General features: G+C 36.6%; 1 protein-coding gene and 1 long non-coding RNA gene across 4 annotated transcripts in view, besides 3 other annotated features; one reads left to right on the top strand and one right to left on the bottom strand.

The window, feature by feature from the left end:
* Positions 1–22,155, bottom strand: part of LOC100507053 (uncharacterized) — a 212,500-nt gene that overhangs the window by 156,031 nt on the left and 34,314 nt on the right. Inside the window, exon 2 of the long non-coding RNA NR_037884.1 lies at positions 11,521–11,771. This is a non-coding gene — a long non-coding RNA (uncharacterized LOC100507053). The remainder of the gene's footprint in view (positions 1–11,520; positions 11,772–22,155) is intronic.
* Positions 735–1,057: a promoter, noted in NCBI's record as "-308/+17 promoter". NCBI's record gives the evidence for it as "EXISTENCE:reporter gene assay evidence [ECO:0000049][PMID:9570155]".
* Positions 906–932: a protein binding site, noted in NCBI's record as "C/EBP footprint region 4; binding inhibited by methylation". NCBI's record gives the evidence for it as "EXISTENCE:protein binding evidence [ECO:0000024][PMID:9570155]".
* Positions 977–999: a protein binding site, noted in NCBI's record as "C/EBP footprint region 2". NCBI's record gives the evidence for it as "EXISTENCE:protein binding evidence [ECO:0000024][PMID:9570155]".
* Positions 1,029–21,668, top strand: ADH4 (alcohol dehydrogenase 4 (class II), pi polypeptide). 3 transcript variants are annotated; one of them, NM_001306172.2, is made up of 10 exons: positions 1,029–1,121; positions 2,021–2,160; positions 2,546–2,647; positions 3,644–3,785; positions 6,178–6,265; positions 8,629–8,860; positions 13,562–13,822; positions 17,982–18,117; positions 18,594–18,732; positions 20,860–21,668. In NM_001306172.2, the coding sequence occupies exons 2-10, from the start codon at positions 2,086–2,088 to the stop codon at positions 20,882–20,884; spliced, it is 1,200 nt and encodes a 399-aa protein (NP_001293101.1). In that variant the 5' UTR covers positions 1,029–1,121; positions 2,021–2,085; the 3' UTR covers positions 20,885–21,668. The 3 variants fall into 3 exon arrangements, with proteins under 3 accessions (NP_001293101.1, NP_001293100.1, NP_000661.2); NM_001306171.2 differs by having other exon boundaries at positions 1,029–1,129; NM_000670.5 differs by lacking the exon at positions 2,021–2,160.

Raw genomic sequence — 22,155 nt, 5'->3', positions numbered from 1 at the left:
GGCCATATACATGTGACTCCAGGGGAGTTCTGACCCACAGCACTGGAGGCCACAGCCACAGGAGGTCAGATGGACACTAGGTATTTATCTACTGGGGTTCCAGGGACTACTCTGTTTTAGGGGGACAGCCAGAGACCCAGAACCATCAGGGCTGGTTGATGGACTCACACATCAGGTGGGACAAAAAGAGTAGCTCCTTAGCAGTGACTAAATAGGGGCCCCCAGGGCTGCAACAGAGTTGAAGGGGAACTTGGGGATTTGGGATAGTGACTTTTTACCAAGCTGAATAAAAATACTTCAATATTTTGATAATTGGCATGGCCTTCATAGTGGGTACTGGCTGAATATCAGCTCTGAATTTTCTTTAAGGCAACTCAAGCATATGTGCAACCAAGTACATGAAAAGAATTTGTATGTAACCACTAATTCATCATAAGCAAAGAGGAAAAAAAACAGCAAAAAGGAAAATGGATGAATAAATTATGTTCAATTCATACACTGGAATATTCTAGAGTAATGAAAATAAGCTACAGCCACAGGCAATGTGAATGATTCTCACATAGAGTAGAGGGGAGAAAAAAGACATGAAACAATACATACACTATGATTCCATTCATAAAAAGGCTTTGCTAGATTAAACTATTGGATAGAGAAGCTTAAATAGGTAGTAAACCACTAAATATGCAAGGAAGTGATTATCAGGGTTGTGAAGGAGAAGAACAGGTAAGTTAAATGGGCGATTCTGAGGAGTAGAAATTTCCTTTACTTCATAATTATTTGTTAATTCATCTTTATATGTTTAATGGGCTTTTCTCTATTATTTTATATTTTTCAATAAAAGAAAAAAGAATTTAAAAAATCTTGGAGCTCACTGGGAGCAATGAGGTTTGCAGCTGAAGTCCAATAGTACAAATGATGTGGTAAGAGGCCGGCAGGGCTGTGAATTACAGCAACAAAGGAGAAAAGGAAGTGATTGGAGAATTAAGCAACATGAATGGTATTTATTCAAAGACAGCTCATTATAGGACACGGAACTCCCTGGGTAGGAGTTTGAAGCTTTCTTAACTCAGAAAGAAACTTCCAACACAGTTTCCCAAAGAAAAATGGGCACCAAGGGCAAAGTAAGCAAGTAAGCTGTATCTTTGTTCAGTTTGTGCTTTTCTGTGTCCTTGTATGTTTGGCTAAAAGGAGCTTCCTTCAGGAACTCAGGAAGCAGTGACTTACAGTTGATCAAAAGGATATGAGTGACCCCTATGCCAGGAATTTATTCTAGGGAAATTAACTGTGGATTGCCAAAATGTTTATTAGAAGGGTGTTCAGTTAATATTAATATTATTTAAATGGCCAAAAGAAGAGAGATTTAAGTAACTGTGCTGTAACCATAAAATATAATATGCATATGTTACAAATAATGTTGCAGGAGAATATGGGAAAATGTTCACAGTATATTAATAGTAGAAAAAGTATATTACAAAATACTATGGACAATGTATCTTATTTGGGGATACTCGAAGAATCTGCATCAAAAGCATAAAGTGGGTGATGAGCTTACAGATGAATCTTATTCTATTTTTTGTCTTTAAAAACTTGATAGGCCTTGGCATTTTGAAACTTCCTGTTAATTAATATATACTTCATTTGAAACAAAATAAATAATATTCAAAAACATAATTCAAAATTATGTAACTATTGAAAAATATACATTAATGTGGTCAAAGACTTTGGGAAAAGTATACCAAATGTAAGCATAGTAGTGTTAGAACAGAAGATTATAGGTTTGTTTCTTTCTACTTTCTTTCAATGTTGCTTATATTTGAAATTAAAAATATAATTTGAGGCTAGAAAAAATTGGGGTTATAGAATCCTAAATATTTAATTTCTGTTCATTCATCTTTACCCAAATTCTTACAATTAGATGAAATTTTTATTTAATTTATATCCTACAGATAAATTTAATAATGATGTAAGCCTCATTTCTCAGACTTTTAATGAATTCTCTGGGGATATTGTTCAAATGCAGATTTTGATTTAGTGGATTTGAGGCAGGGCTTTCATCTCTAACAAATTCCCAAGTGATGTGAATAAATGCTTGTCCGAGGACCACACTTCGAGTTGCAGAGATGTAAAACACATCTATTCTCCAGCAATTATCTGACTCAGGTAATTCAGAGGTGATTTCAAACAGTTCACTCAATAGATTTTTATAGGCCATCTACCTTATTCAAACTCCATAAATCTATTCTCTCTGTTATAGAGGGAAAAACTTGAGACATTATATCAAGGTAAACTTTAATACACCTGTTTTTTTTTCAAGAAATAAAAAATGTAATGACTATAATGTAGAATTTAACTTCTTATTTTTCTTTAAGATCCCTTGTCTTTAAAATAATATCTATAAGATCCAGCTACAAACTCTTTAACTCTTTGTCATGAAATTACAGTATCAATATATTCTAATTTTTTCTCATGATCTCCTCTCTCCTACCCCCAACCCTGTCAAAATCTCTATCTCTATCTCCCTCTTCCTTTTCTTTCTCTCTTTCAGGTTATTAAATGCAAAGCAGCCATCGCCTGGGAAGCAGGCAAGCCCCTTTGCATTGAAGAGGTTGAAGTAGCTCCCCCCAAGGCTCATGAAGTTCGCATTCAGGTAAGTGGAGACTTTCCTTGGGTGGGAACAGACAGGGCCCCAAGTGGAGACCTGGCTTCTGTCAGGTCAATCCTCTGTGCTATGATTCAGAGGCCTTGGAGTTTCTAGTACAGGGAAGCTGTATTTTTAGATTCAGTCAAAAACAGGCATTATCCCAAAAAGGAATAAATCATCCATTATTTTAGTAATTTTCAAATAATGGGCTTAAAATTTAATTGATCTTAACATTAATCATTTACCCTAAGAATCAGACAAAGGAATTCACTTTGGATTTGAATTAGTTAGGTTTTCTTTTTGCTTTCCAATTGCTAATTATTTGAAAGTGTTATTAAAAGGAAGATAGACAATTTGATCGAAAACAAGACAGAAGAAAAAACCTGACGTGCTGCCCTAGGCAGCCGAAGGGTCCTGGGTATCCAGAGGAAGGGACAGGAGTAGGTCACAGGGAGAAGAGAGTGCATGGAATGGAGTGAGATCACTGATGGCAAGTTTGGACAATTTCCCCATTTTTCCCAAGCTGACCAGGCTTATATTTTCCTTGAGGACCCCCACATTAAGAGTCTGTACATGAGAGTGAATGGGACATTCTCACTGACAGAACCTTAAAGAAGAATATAGGTATACATTGGTAATTAATTCAGACAATCCTTGATTTGATATTGTTCTCTCAACTGTAAAAGGTGTATTACCTCAACTTCATTTCAATAAGCCCTATTACCTTTGATTTTTTCCTCTCCTGGAGGCAATAATTGCCAATCCTATCTCTTTTATGATTTTCTGACAACAGCAAAAGGTAGAAAACAAAGATGCATTATAAGAGGAAAATAATCTAACCCAGTATATTTTTATTGGTTCTTTTTTCAAAAGGTGATTCTTTTATTGAGTTCTAGAAGTCTTATAAAGTTTTAAAATGATATCAAGCCTAATCTTATATGTAACATCCAGCCCAATAATATAGTTGCAGAAACACAATTAAAGTCTGTGATTGCCTTGTAGATCATTGCTACCTCTCTGTGCCATACTGATGCCACTGTTATCGATTCTAAATTTGAGGGCCTAGCTTTCCCAGTGATCGTTGGCCATGAGGCTGCAGGTATTGTGGAAAGTATTGGGCCAGGAGTGACCAACGTCAAACCAGGTATTTTATTTTATTCAGAAAAAATGGAAATGTCACAATATTTCAGAGATAATTATTGATAGAGTCCTGGCTTGGCATGCTATAATTGATCTCTATTTACAAAAGGGGACCATCTTTTCCAAAGTAAAACGAGAGACACAATTTATCACAGTCTAGCAATAGGACAGAATATTTGAAATCAGAATTGTCTAATAAAATCTAGGAAATGTGGTCACTTTATTTACACATAGCACTGAGAAACTGTCCCATGAAGCAAAGTTATGAGGTTAGCTCTAACTGAAACTTCCATGTTTAACAAATGACACCTTATAAAAGAACAAGATCATGTCCTTTGCAGAAATATGGATGAAGCTGTCAGCCATTATCCTTAGCAAACTATTGTAGGAACAGAAAACCAAATACTGAATGTTCTTACTTATAAGTAGGAGCTAAATAATGAGAACACATGGACACAAATGGGGCAATGACAGGCACACTGGGTCCTACTTAAGGATGAAGGATGGAGGGAGGAGAGGCTCAGAAAAATAACTATCGGGTACTATGTTTAGTACCTGGGTGACAAAATTATCTGTACACCAAACTTCCGTGACACAAGTTTACTTATATAGCAAACCTGCACATGTACCCTTAAATCTAAAATTAAAGGTGTTGTTTTTCCTTTTTTTTTTTTTTTTGAGATGGAGCCTTGCTCTGTCACCCAGGCTGGAGTGTAGTGGCACGATCTCAGCTCACTGCAACCTCCGCCTCCTGGGTTCAAGCAATTATCCTGCTTCAGCCTCCCGAGTAGCTGGGATTACAGGCATGTGCCACCACACCCGGCTAATTTTGTATTTTCAGTAGAGACGGGTTTTCACCATGTTGGCTAGGCTGGTCTCGAACTACTGACCTCAGGTGATCCACCCACCTCGGCCTCCCAAAGTGCTGGGATTACAGGCATGAGCCACCTTGCCCAGACTTTTTTTTTTGTTCGAAACAGAGTCTCACTCTGTGCCAGGCTGGAGTGCTGTGGCACGATCTTGGCTCACTGCAACCTGCACCTCCCAAGTTCACACAAATCTTGTGCCTCAGCCTCCAGAGTAGCTGGGATTACAGGCATGAGCCATCACATCTGGCTAATTTTTGTATTTTTAGTAGAGACAGGGTTTCACCATGTTGGCCAGGCTGCTCTTGAACTCCCAACCTCAGGTGATCTGCCTACCTCAGCCTCCCAAAGCACTGGGATTACAGATGTGAGCCACTGCACCTGGTGTAAAATAAAAGGTTTTTAAATGACATGTTATAATAACTTCTATATAAAAAAGCAAACTATTTTAATATTAACAGCAAACTATGTAAAGAATGAGGACTTAGAGGTAGCTTTAGTGAGAAATATTATATATATGTCAACGTTAGCTGAAGTGTTTTTTTGGAAGTTTGTAAGATAAAGATAATACCTAAATGAAGCACCCCAATAGCTGAAATTATTTACTCCACATTTTACAACAGATCCTCCAGATACTGGAATATGGGCTATGTAATCCTCATTTGGCAGGCCAGATGAACCGTGCCACTCTTTTCTCTTTTAATGAGAATGCTCCAAAGTTAGAGGTATATTAGTATCTTTCCATTCCAAAAAAGATTGTACAAACAAATTGCTTCCCAAAATTTTGTGTCAATGAAGGAGTCTGGCCAATATAATCCCTTTAGCCCCAGCTCTGCCACTTACTGGCTATGTGATCTTGGCCAGTTATGTCACTTTTCTGTGATTCAGCTCAGATTTCTGTTTTCTATAGTGTGAATAAAAATAGGGCTCGTCTCAAAGAGTTGCTCTGAGAATTAAGTTCTGAAATAATACATGTAAGTAGTTATAATGGTGCGTGGTATGTATTAAATGTTGAATGAATGTGAATTATCATCATTAGACCTCAGGCATCGAAGCACAGAAGTCACTATTAAATTGGAATTTATTAAAAAGTGGAAAAATGTGGAATTTGAAAGTGAATCTAAAGGTGAAACATAGCAATGATATAAAGTTTATACCTAGCCTATAATTGTTTACCTCTCCTATTATCTAAGGATGTTATGTTTCGTACATGGTGTTTGGAAATGTAATAAACAATAGTCATGATGCAGAGAGTCACAATGACAGCAAAGTCCCAGAGTTCTGTATCTGATGATATCAACATAGATTTGTTGCTGGACTGCCTAGCAGAGTAATTTTTTAAAAAATACAATATATGCAATACGTTGGGGAATCTGCAGTCTTGTAAGGTAATGAAATACTGTAGCCACCTATACTTTCCACTGAATATAAAATGTATACTATAAAGAAAAGGTGTTTTCCACTGATTTATCTGGTAGAAGCTATAAGTAACACCTTAGGCACCATCCAACATATGGCCTTTCTTTCTAGGTGACAAAGTAATTCCACTTTATGCACCTCTATGTAGAAAATGCAAGTTTTGTCTGAGTCCACTCACAAATTTGTGTGGGAAAATCAGGTAAGCACTCTACACTGTTAGTATTAGTATAAATTTGAATGAATATTTTGGAAAGCATATTGACATTACCTAAATGGCCTTGAAGAGGTGCAAACCTTCCACCCACTAATTCTAATCCTAGGTGTGTACAAGATACTATTGCAAGTGCACACAAAGAAACATGTGCTGGAATGTTCTTTGTAACACTGTTTATTAGAGTAAGCAATTTAAAACAGCACAAATGTCCATCAGAAAGAGAATGAATTTTAAAACTGCTATGTAGTAGCACAATGGACTACTACACAACAATAAAAATGGCTAAACTTGAGCTGCATGTATTAACATAAAATAATCTCACACACATAATGTTAAGGGAAATAAGCAAATTGCTGAAGGAATATTTAGTAAAGTGTCATATACAAAAACAATACTATACTTTCTTATGGTTATTTGTATATGTAGTAAAAGCATAAACAAATCACTGAAATAATAAATGCCAAATTCAGAATAATAGCTACTTCTACAGGGATGAGAGAGGGATACAATAAGGCACAGTAAAGTAATTTACTCCAAGGCAACATAGTTATAAGTCTTAGAGCCAGGTTTTTAACCCCGGCAGTATGGCTCTGGAGTCTAAAATCTTAATCATCTTGTTTTTGCTTTACTAGACTACAGAAGGATCCTTTCATCCTTAACACTAATTGAAAGCAGTTATTTAAGAAGCTAAAATTGTACTACTCTTACATCTATTACTGTGCCTCAATTTTTTCATCTATAAAATGAGGAGCAAAATAATGCCTGCTTCATAGACTTGTTCTAGATATTCAAAGAACTAATTTTTTTTGCAAAGCTTTAATGAAATAATGGATTTAGGCAATACCAATAAATTCTTTCTAATAAATGTTATAAAAAGAGATAATCAGATATTCCAAATGAAATATACGATACCACCTATAAAGTATTACCACAAAAATATAAAATCTGAATCAGATCAAGTGTTTAGATCAAAAATACTAATTTATGAGGGGATGCAGGGATAGAGAAATATGTTCAACCAGATTACAGGAATGTTATGAGCAAAATTCAGAATGAGAAAAACTCTATAGGACAAATGATTCAATTTCTTCAACAAATAAATTGCAAGGGGAAAAAGAGAGGGAGAAGGGATCTATAATTTAAGATAATTAAGAGACAACAAAAATGTGGACCTAAAGTAATCCTTTAGAGATATATGGTAATGTTTTTACAGATGAAATCGTGATATCTGGGATTTGCTTCAAAATATTCCAATGTGGGGGAGGGAGCAGATATTGTGGAGGAATAATAGATGAAACCTGACTGGCCATGAATTGATGGTTACTGGAGCTGGGACATGGACACATAAGGGTTCATTATGCTATTCCTTCTACTTTTATACATGTTCAAATTTTCCACAACAAAAATGTTTTAAGAGTTAATACATGTAAAGCCCTTAAAAGCATTTCTGGTACACAAAAGCATTCAATGAAAGTTTGTTCCCTGGCCGGGTGCGGTGGGTCATGCCTGTAATCCCAGCACATTGGGAGGCCAAAGCTGGCAGATCACCTGAGGTCAGGAGTTCGAGACCAGCCTGACCAACACGGAGAAACCCCGTCTCTACTAAAAATACAAAATTAGGGCCAGGCGAGGTGGCTCACACCTATAATCCCAGCACTTTGGGAGGCTGAGGCGGGTGGATAGCGAAGTCAGGAGTTCGAGACCAGCCTGGCCAACACGATGAAAGCTCATCTCTACTAAAAATACAAAAATTAGCCGGGCCTGGTGGTGCGTGCCTGTAGTCCCAGCTACTCGGGAGGCTGAGGCAGGAGAGTTCCTTGAACCCAGGAGGCGGAGGTTGCATTGAGCTGAGATCGCGCCACTGCACTCCAGCCTGGGCGACAGAGCAAGACTCCGTCTCAAAAAAAAAATAATAATAATAATACAAAATTAGCCAGGCGTAGTGGTGCATGCCTATAATCCCAGCTACTCGGGAGGCTGAGGCAGGAAAATCGCTTGAACTCGGAAGGCGGAGGTTGCGGTGAACGGAGATTGTGCCACTGCAGTCCAGCCTAGGCAACAAGAGCAAAAACTCCGTCTAAAAAAAAAAAAATTGTTCCCTGCACTCCAGCCTGAGTGACGAAATGACACCCTGTCACTTTTTAAAAAATTGTTGCTGTTATTTTTTAAATTTGCTGTTATTCAACAAACTATATTTTGTGAAAAGTCTTGTTGTTTCCCTAATTTTTCTGTCTTGTAAATTGTCATCAAAAATATATAATGCTCAACATATTTTGTAGGAAAATGATCAGTGTTCCATTTATTATAACTTCTCTTTATTTGTATCACTCTTTTTTTTAATTTTCTAGTAATCTCAAAAGTCCTGCTAGTGATCAACAACTAATGGAAGACAAAACCAGCAGGTTTACCTGCAAAGGAAAACCAGTTTACCATTTCTTTGGAACCAGTACATTCTCTCAGTACACTGTGGTGTCAGATATCAATCTTGCCAAAATAGATGATGATGCAAATTTAGAGAGAGTTTGTCTGCTTGGATGTGGGTTTTCAACTGGCTATGGGGCTGCAATCAACAATGCCAAGGTAAATGGTTAAACACCAGTTTGTGTAAAACAGAAGTTACTAGGAGGCAGTGTGATACAGATGAACTAGAGTTAGTTATCTTCAAACTGTGGCTGTGTCATTTATTACCTCTGTGATTTTAAGCAAGTTATTTAATCCCTCTAGAATAATATCTACTACAAATACTTATGAGGATAATTGAATAATATTATATATGTAAAACATCTGGCCCAGTAGCCTACATATAATTGACCCAGCATATGTTCTTATACTATACTAACATATTAGGTTATAGATCTTCCCTGATTTAAATACAGCCTGTTTAAATATGTCTCCTAAGGATGAATGCTCATCCTAGGACAGCTGACTCAGTCAAAGGGCAACAAAAATGACAGAAACTCACTTCCATCTTCACACAACCACCCCTGTCTTCTCCCTGTTGCTACAGATTTATCTCCCTCCATCAGTAGTAATTCATTTCTGCTACTCATCATGTCCCTTTGTGGCTTCAAAGGAGGGTCTCTGGTAGCAGCCGTAATGTTGACCAGATGTGTCCCTGGAATCCCATGTTAGAATTTAGAAACTCTTACAAAGCATCTGATCTAGAACTAGAGAGACATCAAAGAGGGATCTCACAATTGGACATCTCAACCTGCTTATCTGAACCTCCCTGACATCGATCTTTATTCCTGACTCAAAACCGCAAAATGCAGCCAGAGTGGTCTTTCAAACAACAAGTCTGAAGATTTTATTTTTCCTGCATTATTTCATTTTTCCCTCAGGGTGAGCTCAAATTCCTCAGTAGGCTACAGTGACTTCCTACTTCTCCCTTTCCACTGTGCACTCACTGTTCCCTTGGCTCCACTCTGAGTCTCCAGGCTTCAGTCACTGTGGTCTCTGGGCTTTCCACACTTGGCTTCCAGCAACAATGCAGAGAAGACTGCCCTACCTCCTTCAGGCTGACTCCACTTATCACTTCCTCTCAGAGATCTACTTCAGGCTCTCAGCCATGCTTTGGGTATCCCTCCCAGTTTTCACCCCAAATTTTTTTCTTTTTTGAGACAGGGTCTCACTCTGTTGCCCATGCTAAAATGCAGTGGCATGATCATTGCTTACTGCAGCCTTGACCTCCTGGGCTCAAGTGAACTTCCCACTTCAGCCCTCCAAGTAGCTGGGATTACAGGCATGCACCACGATGCCTGGCTATTTTTTTAATTTTTTATAGAGACAGGGTCTCCCTATGTCGCCCAGGCTGGTCTTGAACTCCTAGGCTCAAGCAGTCCTCCCACTTCGACCTCCCAAAGTGCTAGGATTACAGGCATCAGCCACCACCAGCCTCTGTCTTCATTCTTATCACACTATAGAGAAATCTCCCATTTATTTTTTTGTCCTATTGTACTATTTGTTCCTTGAGGGCAAGAACTCTCTGTTGTTCATTGTGATAGCTCCAGAGCCTGGAATTGTCCCTGGCACATAACAGGAGCTTGATAATTTTTCAACGAATGAATAAATAAAACCAGGTGCATAAAACATCCTGGTGAGGCCTGGTCCTCGGCTTTGTAATCCAGAAAGTCCTTCTTATCAGGTTACCTAGAGTTGTTCAGTGTCAAGGAAACAAAGTCAGCCTCACCACAATAAGAGGTTGATCTAGTAGCCAAGATACCAAAGTATGACTCTTCATTGAGAATTTTATCTGCCACATAGACAAAAATGCTACCCTTTGCTATCAACATGTTATCTCCCTTTAAAAATGTATTTACGCACACAATTACTCATTAATAAAAAATTTAAAAAATTGTGTTAGAAACCAAACTACAATCAGAGAAGGGTACTAGTAGCTGGGTGGAGTTGACAGCAGATGTGCACATGGCAGTCAAAGCCTATTTTCTGCTGTATGGCGCTAGAGACTTAGGGAAGAAGTATCACTCTTCAAGTCTTCCTTTGCTGGGCTCCATGCAGTCCATCCTCTTCTACTACTCCAGTCCTTTTAAGGGCCATCAGCACTAGAGGTTCAGCTACAGCTTTCTTTTTTAATTACTTATTTATTTTTAATTGAAAAAAATTTATACATTTATGAAGTGCAATTAACGTTTTGATATATATATACACTGTAGAATAATTAAATCAAGCTAATAATGTATCCATCACTTCATATACTTATCTTTTTGTGGAGAGAACATTAAAAATCTACTATCTTAGCAATTTTCAGATATACAATACATTATTATTAATTATAGTCACCAGAGCGTACAATGAAATTCCAGAAATTATTCCTCCACTCTATCCGAAATTTTGTAACCTTTGACCAACATCCTCCTATTCGTCATTTATCCCCCCAGACTCTGGTAACCACCATCCTAGTCTCTGCTTCTGTGAGCTTGTCTTTTCCACATATAAGTGAGATCATGCAGTATCTGTCTTTCTGTGCCTGGCTTATTTCACCTGACATAATGTCCTCCAGGTTTATCCATGTTTTCACCATAACAGGATTTTCATTTTTTTAAAAGCATAATTAGTACTCCATTGTGTATATACATATCATATTTTTCTTATCTATTCATCTATTTGTGGAGCAAAAGCCAGAGGTGTGCATACCTAATATTATTGATAAATAAGGAAAACATTGCAGTTTACCTGTTGCTTAGTAATTTTGTTTCCAATTTAGAATGTATTAAACTTACCTTGAGCAGATTTTCTGTTTTCCTTTTGTTTAAGGATTGGTTCCACATTTTGGCTATTGTGAATAATGCTTCATTGAACATGGGTATGCACATCTCATTTCCTTTGGTTGTATATACAGAAGTGGAATTGTACAGCTTTCTTTTAAATCCAGTCAAAGTCGACCTAAATTTCCAGGAGTTGTTCTTCCCACTGTTAAGGAAGAGATTCTAGCTGCTAAGCCACCTCATGAGATCCTCAGAGAGAAATGAATCTGATAGGAAGAAATTAAGGAAAGTGAAGTATCAGTAATTCTGCCCAAAAGGCAAGAGCTTTAGTAAAATTTAACTTACTTCTGGGAAGAAAAGTGAAGCAACTTCTCTGTATAATTATTGAGAACACACCAACATCACCAGAACCCCTCTTTCTTTTTGATGTGCTTGTATCCTTTACTGCCAATTAAACAACATTACACAGAGACCTTTGGAAGTGTGGAAATGTCCTCTAACAGTGGTACTTGCAGATAGATAATCATCTACTGTGTGTAGACTCACTTGCAAATTGTGGGGGCAATTTATAGTGACCCCACCTAAGTTCTGCAAACAAAGGCACTTTTACACACAGGGGTCCAGTTGTATAATACAAGTAATGCAGCATATTATATTTATACACTGTTGTGAGCTAGCCTGAGAATCCAACTACTAGTTACATTGCTGCAATGGGAAAAATGCATTTCCACTTCCTAAGAGACTCACAGGCTCCTTTTAACTGAGACTCTGGAGCAATATATTAAGAATCATACTGAACACATGCCACAACATTATAGTAAAGAAGCCATCATAAGAACAATATTCTTACTATTTGCAATATATATACATATTTATTATTTCCTCTGAGTAGCAAAAGCCAGAGGTGTGTATACCTAATATTATAGTAAATAAGGAAAATATTGCAGTTTACCTGTTGCTTAGTAATTTTGTTTCCAATTTAGAATGTATTAATACTTACCTTGAGCAGATTTTCTCTTTTCCTTTTGTTTATGTTTTAATCCTAACAGCTTTGCATCCTCATTAGGAAATATTAAGTATTTCTCTATGTAGTATTTTTCTATCGCTATAATAGTCTGTAGAATAACATATTCCAGTTACAGCATCTTTTCTTACCATCTTATCTATTATTTCCATTTAATGCAATGAAACAAATATTTATTAAAGACTCAATATACAGAAGACTCTTTCATAATAATATGGAATTTAAAAAGTTTCTGCCTTCATAAAATTTACGGTCTTTTAAAGAAACACACCATACACCCACAATCAAGGCAGGTTATAAATTATATAATAAAAGAAAAGCAAAAAGACAGGCATTGATTTCTGATTGAAAAATCAAGAAAAGTTTCATAGACAGAATGTCTTGGAAGTCAGGCCTAGGAGTATAGGTTATACTTTAATTAAAGAAAATAAGGTTAAAAGTACATCAGTCTGAGGGAGCAGCGTCAACTACGGCATGAGAAGAAAGTGCAACAATCTGTTCGCAGTTCTTGTACTGGGAATATCATGGGGATGAAGCTGGAAGGTAAACAGAGGTCAGACAATAAAAATGCTTTCATGCCATGCAAAACAAATTGGACTTCATTCCAAACTGGTGATTTGGAGTGATCAAGTAAATCACTGTAATATTAATACAACCAAATGAGGACTATTCGAAATATAGATGTCAAATTAATAGTGATCCAATTTTAAAAGGAAAGCAATAAACCCTTCAGAATGTGTGGGTTTTCAAATTTTGTTCAGATAACACTGAAGGGAAAAAGTAAAACAAGGGAATTATTTTTACTTGGGTTTGTTTCTTATAATCTTAATGAACACTAAATAATTCTCCAAATTTAAGTAGTAATGCATCCATTTTCGCATTGGCAGATTTCCTCCATTGGCTATATCATAGAGTTTAATAGCAGGCTGTCTTTAATTCATATGTTCATGCCCCCACTTCCTCCTGACTCTTAAAAGAAAAAAAGTGGGACTGGCTGCTTTAGAAGTTACTTTATAATTTTCCTGCTTGCAGGTCACCCCTGGTTCGACTTGTGCTGTCTTTGGCCTAGGAGGTGTGGGTCTTTCTGCTGTAATGGGTTGTAAAGCAGCAGGAGCTTCCAGAATCATAGGTATTGACATCAACAGTGAGAAGTTTGTGAAGGCTAAAGCCCTGGGAGCCACTGACTGCCTCAATCCTAGAGACTTACATAAACCGATCCAGGAAGTTATCATTGAATTGACCAAGGGAGGTGTGGATTTTGCCCTTGACTGTGCAGGTGGATCTGAAACCATGGTATGTATATTTTGTTCTTGGATCATATTTTCAATGTATTCTTTGGCTGTCAAATAATAGGGGAAAGTGGATTATGTTTATTATGGTACTTAGTACTTTCAAATGGATGACAGGGTGGTAGAACTATAAGCCACAAATCATTTCCCATTCCCTCAGCTATACTCCATTTCCTTCAATGCCCATGAATGTGTCCCCCCAAATGCCAGTACTATCTTGGTGAGTTCAGTCTTCTCTTGTGATAAGAAGCCATACCAGCATTATTTGTAGATGCTGATTTTTCTTTTGAGATCCCTTTAAAAAGCTCAATATTATTTGTCTGGAGATAATATTTTCTAATTTTGTTTTCTATGATAATTCCAATTCCTATTCCTTGGAGACAATTTTAGGGGTTTTTTCATTTTTAATTAGAGAAATGTTCCTTTTGACTATTAAATCAAATAAAATGACAAGTGCATTAACTAGACAGCATTCTTTAGCCAAAGATATAAAGGGATGAATTAACTGCAATGCATAAATAGGAATAAACACCTATTTTGTTTAGCTATCTTATGCATTATATACATTATTAATATTAACATTTGTTAATGTAGAATCTTTTCTTTAACAGTATATAATATTTAAAATTAATAAACAATATGTGCATGTGTTGTTATATTTAATATTAACATATTCTCAACACTAGCTATATGTTAGAATTTCCTGAGGGGTTTTTCGTTGTTTTGTTGCTTTTTTAATACCAATGAATGGGCCAAACCCAGGATATTCTTGTGTGCTGGGAGCCCACTGACAACATTTTAAAAATTAATTTCTCAAGTTGAGAACCACTGACCTAAAAGTTAGCATCTTCTATTATTAAGCTGACTTATTATACCATGAAAGTCATTTTCAATTATGGAACAGAATTATATTAGAGAATCCAAATGGAAAGAGAAAGATTTATTTAATCACCAAAAGATGAGTTACCTACTCTCCCACCAAAAGTTTCTATAGCTAGGAAAAGCTTCTATAGAAAGTTTCTAGGTTCCAATGACCTCTAACCCTCTAAACCAAGGGTCAACACCCTGTAGCTTACCAGCACAAGGATTGTTTACTAACACCTGCTAAGGACCCTTTTAAGGAGCTGAATGTAGTGATACTGGAGTCTATGACCTGACTGGAAGCTGTAGAAAGATTTTATAACCTTGCAGTGATTAATTTTTTAGAGCTTTGATAACCCCCAGCAATAAGTCAGAGACTTAATTTAGAATTTAATTTTGAAAGTGTTTGTCAAAAATGTTAAAGGCCTCAAAACATTTGATTAAAACAGAACCACAGGTCATTGTAAAACAATAGTTACTTATTTAGCCAAATAAATCATCAAAAGACTTTAAAGGCAATACATGAGGATGTATGGATGTAAAAACCTTAACACTATTTTTTTAAGCAATTAAAAACCTAATGTAGACAACATGGGAATTATTTTGATAAAATGTAAAATGTTGTTTCTTAAGTCAGTTACCAGAAATGGAAAGAAAAACTGGTAGTGTGACTGCTTCTCCTTATGGGAAGCCCATTTCAATAAACCTGATGGGAAAAGTGCTTGAATTTAATCAGACATGGGAAAAGTGTGTTCAGGATTATGAGTACAGCAGGGGAATACATAATTCTTAGTAACTGCATGAGAAATTTTCTGGTTACATTGAAAAATTTAAACATATCAAGAAAAGCCAAGAGTACAGAATCAAGTTGTACTGGAGGAAAACATTCACTCCTAGACCTTTAAGATAAAACATTTTAGTATCAGGCCATAAGAATAGTTAGAACTGGAGGAAAAAAACTTATAATAGCTGATGAAAAAGCTAAAGAAAAGAGTTATCTCTGTCCAAGGGGAGACAAAGCTGAAAGCAGGGAGACATAGCAAAAGGTGAACTGACATATGATTTTGAGAAGTTTTCAAAAGAAACAGGTTATAAAACTAAAAGTTAAGTTTCTTTTAATTGTATTAAGAGCAAATCAATACTGTAAAGAGACTTTGTTTTAACATAGGGGAATAATCTTAGAAAGACTATTCTAAATAATCCTTTTTTAATCACAGCAAATTTAATCACATACAAAATTTTTTTATAAATTCCTCTTCATGAAACTTATTATGACTTACACAGATGATCTATGACATGCTTGGACTTCTGACTTATCCTAATTTTTTCCTTTTAAATAATAAGTCATTTTATTTTAGGACAAGATTTTACCATAAGATTCTTTTTTATATGAAATTATTCTTTTTTAATAACCCTTTTATTAAAAATACATTTTTATATTTATAACTTTACATTTCTCTCCCCTACTTACTTTTTTTTATCTTTTTAAGTAAATAACTTTAAAATAATTTCCAAATTATGTAAAATTATTCTTTAATAAGAATACAGGCCAGGCACAGTGGGTCATGCCTGTAATTCCAGCACTTTGGAAGGCTGAGGTGGGCAGACTGCTTGAGCCCAGGAGTTCGAGAGCAGCCTGGGCAACATGGCAAAAACCCACCTCTACTAAAAATATGAAAATTAGTCAGGTGTAGTGGCACACGCCTATAGTACCAGCTACTTGGGAGGGTAAGGTGAGAAAATAACTTAAGCCCAGGAAGTTGAGGCTGCAGTGAGCTATGATCACGCCACTCCACTGTAGCCTGGGCAACAGAGTGAGACTGCCTCAAAAAAAAGATAATACAATTATATATTTATATATGAATTAGAATTCTTATTCCTAGTAACCTTAAATTTTCATGAAAACTTAGAAAGCAAGAAATCCTGAACTGTTAGATGTAAGCATTTTATAGATGAAATCATTTCACAATTTTAGAAACATGTTTTCCTATATCATAATTTTTTAATTGGAAATGACTCACATATCCAGCATTTATTATTTAATTTAAAATAATTTTCAGATTTTATATTACACAAAAAGTCCACTTATAAGCATTTATTTCATTTACATATACTTTTTCATTTTTAATAGTTATCTAGATAACTTTTGATAACTGAGATATTATGCAGAACTAGCCATTATTTAAAGTTATTTCCTTGTTAACTTTTTTTTTGAGATGGAGTCTCACTCTGTCGCCCGGTGGAGTGCAGTGGCACGATTTTGGCTCACCGCAACCTCCACCTCCTGGGCTCAAGCAATTTTCCTTCCTCAGACTCCTGAGTAGCTGGGACTACAGGCACATGCTGCCATGTCTGGCTACTTTTTTGTATTTTTAGTAGAGACGGGGTTTCTCCATGTTGGCCAGGCTGGTCTTGAACTCCTGATCTCAAGTGATCCACCTGCCTTGGCCTCCCAAAGTGCTGGGATTACAGGCGTGAGCCACCATGCCTGGCCCTTGTTAACTAAAGTCTAAACATTAGGTGAAAACCTAAGTAAGAACCATAAGGTTAAACACATAGGTATTTTGCTGATAAATTAGGTGATTCAGTTGCTGTTATTGACCTAACAATTTTAAATTAGTCTTATTTGTCAAAAAAAAAAAAGTCACACAACGATAGATTTGGCTGGGTTTACAGTCTCACAACCTTTGTCCCAAACCCTGACACTTTAAACATTTAGCAGAGGCAAATATAAAACTTATTTACTTACACACAAATGTATGCTGATTTTTTAGACATCTTTATTTTTATTTTACTAATAATTTTTTTTTTTTTTGAGACAGAGTCTCACTCTGTGACCCAGGCTGCAGTGCAGTGGTGTGGTCTCGGCTCACTGCAACCTCCTCCTCCTCCCGGGTTCAGGCAGTTCTCCAGTCTCAGCTTCCCGAGTAGCTGGGACTACAGGCAGGCACAACCACACCCAGCTAATTTTTGTATTTTTAGTAGAGACGGGGTTTTGCCATGTTGGCCAGGCTGGTCTCGAACTCCTGGCCTCAAGTGATCCACCCACCTTGGCCACCCAAAGTTCTAGGATTACAGGAATGAGTCACCTGCACCCGGACTGTGCTGAACATTCTATTTGTAATGGAACACTGGGCCCTCAAGGCTCAATCTACAATGATACTATGATGTCATTAGCTTGAATCCCATTATCTTACATGCAGAGTTGGATTAATTTTTTTCTAAAGCATTGTACATTGCCACACTGGAGTTCATATTCTACTTTTCCACTGACTCAAGTATTCTTTTATGCTCCATCACAGAAAGCAGCCCTGGACTGTACAACCGCAGGCTGGGGATCATGTACTTTCATTGGAGTAGCTGCTGGTAGCAAAGGATTGACTATTTTTCCAGAGGAGCTAATAATCGGCCGTACTATAAATGGAACATTCTTTGGTGGTCAGTTTTTTTTTTCTTCATAGCTTTAAATTCTTTTCCTAGTAGTTCTGAAATTCTTAGAGTGAAGGTTATTGAAAAGAAATAAAAATAATTTATTCAACCATTGAATCCCTAGAGCATATCCAAATACTACATAAAAACTATTAATGACTTATAAATAATTTATATAAAAAGGTAATTATAATTTGCAAATTGAAATTTAATTTGCATTTGAATGAACCAACATGGAGGAACAAAAAATAAACATTGACCTTATTGAGATAATTTCTTATATAGAGTGGAAAATAATCTTAAATTTTTCTTATAAAGAAAAATTTTAAAATAGATATAAGTACAGAAAATTAAAGATGGAAGGAGTTTAATCTATTTGAAGCAAACCAAATCTGACCTAATAATTTCATTCATTCAGCAAATGCTGATTAAACTACTTCGTGTCAAGTGCCATGTCTTTATTTTGCATTTTGTCCACATTACAGGTTGGAAAAGTGTAGATTCTATCCCAAAGCTGGTCACTGACTATAAGAATAAGAAATTCAATCTGGATGCACTGGTGACCCATACCCTGCCTTTTGACAAAATCAGTGAGGCATTTGACCTAATGAACCAAGGAAAAAGGTACATTACTAATAGATGACTGAATGATTTAAAAAACGTTTACAATGATTCTATCTTCTTTTTGATGTTAAGAAGCAACCAGCTTGTTTTTTCTGACATTTTCCACATCCCAGGTACTAGATGTGCTTAAAAGATTAAATAGTGGTCATTTCAGAGGGGAAAACCTTCCATTTCAATAATGCACATCTGTACACTGTTACAATATAGAATGGTGGCATAAATTGATACAATTTCCATTTCACAAACCATTAACTCAGTTGGGCCTGCTCCCTAGAAAGAGAGGTTTCTGTGTAGTATGTTAGATCCCTCTAGTAGAGTGTACCCCTGAGTTTAGCACCGTGGTGTTCTGCAGTTTGACACAGAGTGCCTACCCCAGACCCTTCACAATCAGAATGGGGTGAAAACCATGCCTCTGTGGCAGGGATCAGACATGTAAAGGATGCCCCAACTGTCTCATTCTCTTGCTTTGTCATGGAGTTCCTCTAAGATACCTTCTGATCCACTATTTTAGTTATACAGTGCTCCCATGTCAGGGATCCCAGGAACTGATGCATAGAAATGTTCCACCTGGAAGATTCTTAGGGGTTGGGGGATTAGTAAGACTAGGATCAATGATTCTAGGTAAAATGTTCAAGCACAGCCTTGATCAATAGAAACAAAGGTCAAAAACATTAGGAACAATGTTACATAGAGGAGACGCAGGACCAAGAAGAAATGAAAAGAGAAGATACAACAAAAGAGAGGAGGAAAAGTCTAAAGTAAAATTAAAATAACTGGGATTTGAAGCAGGGAATAAATGTTGCAGAAGAAGAAGATAGTTTCATGGTGTGAGGACCCAGACTACTTCTTGGGGAAGAAACCTGAGGAAATATCCCCACTGACATGAACTCCCCAATTTGCAAACGTGTCAGTCACAACATATCAGAAGGAAGTTCAATAAAAAGAAAATACAAGCATTATTTTTTAAGCTACACCATGTAAACTTAGTATATAAGCCCTGCAATGTATTATACAACTTCAATATCCCCATAAGGAATACTCCTCAAGTTAGGAGATAGAAGTTGAAGTGGGGTTTGAGCCTCACACCCTTCTATTCATATCCTCGAACACAAACCTTTTCTCCTAGAATTCTCAATTATGGAATACATCCATAAGGAATGCTAAGTGGCAGCCAGGTGGAAAATGCTGCATTGCTTTATGGGCAAGTCTCCCACATTCTCCCAGGAGGCTTCCCTGGTAATCAGCCTAGGGGTAGACACCAGAGTGAGGCCTCCTGCTCCTTCTCTGGCCCACTGAGAATACCACCTGACTGCCCACACAGATGGAAAGGTGGCAATGAGGAAGGCAGAAGTTGGGCCTCATCAGGTGTGTCCACCATATGGGCACAGGAAGCACAAGAGAGGGCAGGCCCTCCTACCACCCAACTGCAAAGAAGCAAGGAAGTGGGGGGATGGGGATGGGATACAATGACTGACTAGCCTGTTGAGGTGTAGTGATCCTGCCCCAGAGTGAGGAAAGGACACAGAGATTCTCCTTCTACAGGTAGGGGTGTCTTCCAGTCCTGGGTGAAGAAAACATTTATGCATAGCACCCTGCTCATAGCAGGGGTTCCACAGTTCCAGCAGTAATGTTTGAGATAAAGACTGCTCTGTCCTTGAGGCTTATCCCCCTCTTTGTGTCTACATGTTGGAGTTACCCAGAAATAAGAACATCTGGGTTCTTAAAAAGTAGCATCCCAACACACCAACTTTGATGCCCACTCCCTCCTTCAATGCTCAACTTTGCCCTCAGCTATAGGAGATCCGAGAACAGTGACTATTCCAAGACTAAAACCTGACTCCCTCCTTGGTACATTCTAATTCTCCTCAACAGCACCACTGAGTAACAAGGACGCTGCCTAAGGTGAGTAAGGGTCCTCAATTCCCCCCAAGTTTACTAGCACATGCATAAAATATTATTAACACCATGAATGGAAGAGGATGACGGGATAAAAGAAATTAGGCTTAATAAAGTGAATGTCTATAAAGGAAGACCAGATCCTGAAATGAAAAGGCAAAACTTATTTGTGAGCTTTGGTTAAATTTATCATGAAAATTATACTTATTAATGTTTTATTGTTATTAACAGCGTCCGAACAATCCTCATCTTTTGAAGATGCCAGGAGCAATTCAGAATACTATCTGATTGAATGTGAACCTGCCTGGTTAATTTATTACCTGATTTGATGAACCAAGGAAAGCCATGAGTTTAAACAAATATTTACATTTAATATGGGAACATAAAAGAGCTTTAAATATTATAGACTTTGTACCTGTTATATATATGAATATTCCCTATGTTAAATAATAATAATAACTAGTGTTTATGAATAGAATCATATCATCTTTAGAAATTGTTTAAAATTAGTTCTGGGAAGTTGAAAGTGGGGAATGAAGAGATAATAAATAAAACTAGATTGGCCATATGTTTATAATTTTTTTAGATTGGGTAATGAATACATGGAGTTTCATTATACTTTTCTCTCCACTTTTGTCTATGTTGAAAATTTTCTGGGAGCTAAATGATGAGAACACATGGACACATGATGGGGAACAACACACACTGGGGCCTGTTGAGGGCAGGGAGTCGGCAGAGAGAGAGCATCAGGAAGAATAGCTAATGGATGCTGGGCTTCATACCTGGGTGATGAGATGATCTGTGCAGCAAAGCACCATGGTACATGTTTACCTATGTAACAAACCTGCACATCCTGCACATGTACCCTGGAACTTAATAAAAGTTGGAAATTTTTAAAAAGAATGAATAAGACCTGGTATTTGATAGCACAACAGGGAGACTATAGTCAACAGCAATTTAATTGTATATTTTAATATGACTAAAAGAGTATAATGGATTGTTTGTAACACAAATAAATGCTTGAGGAGATGGACACCCCATATTACATGATGTGATTATTACACATTGCATGCCTATATCAAAACATCTCATGTACCCCATAAATATATACACCTAATACCCACAAAACTTAAAATATAAAATGTTTTAAATAAAAATAAAGAAAAGATTTCCCACAATAAAAAGATTTTTACTGGAAAAAAATCACTATATTTCACATACATGTGTACATATATACATTATATATATATATACACTATATATATGAAATATATAGTAATTGTGATTATGTGTGTATATATATATTAATATATACACACATATATACATAAAACATTATTATATACTTTGTGTTCCAATAAGCCACAAGCTACTTTTTAAAAATAAGTTGCTAAATAATTTTCTTTTTAACATCTGCTAATTTCTTTTCTCTTAGCCCCACTCTATCATTAACTGCAATCACATGGAAGGAGATATCAGAATCTATTTAAGTGAATATTTTAAAAAGAATAAAAGCATATCTACTCT

Source organism: Homo sapiens, chromosome 4 (assembly GCF_000001405.40).
Source record: "Homo sapiens chromosome 4, GRCh38.p14 Primary Assembly".
Classification (NCBI taxonomy): domain Eukaryota; kingdom Metazoa; phylum Chordata; class Mammalia; order Primates; family Hominidae; genus Homo; species Homo sapiens.
This window is presented reverse-complemented; position numbering and strand designations above follow the sequence as displayed.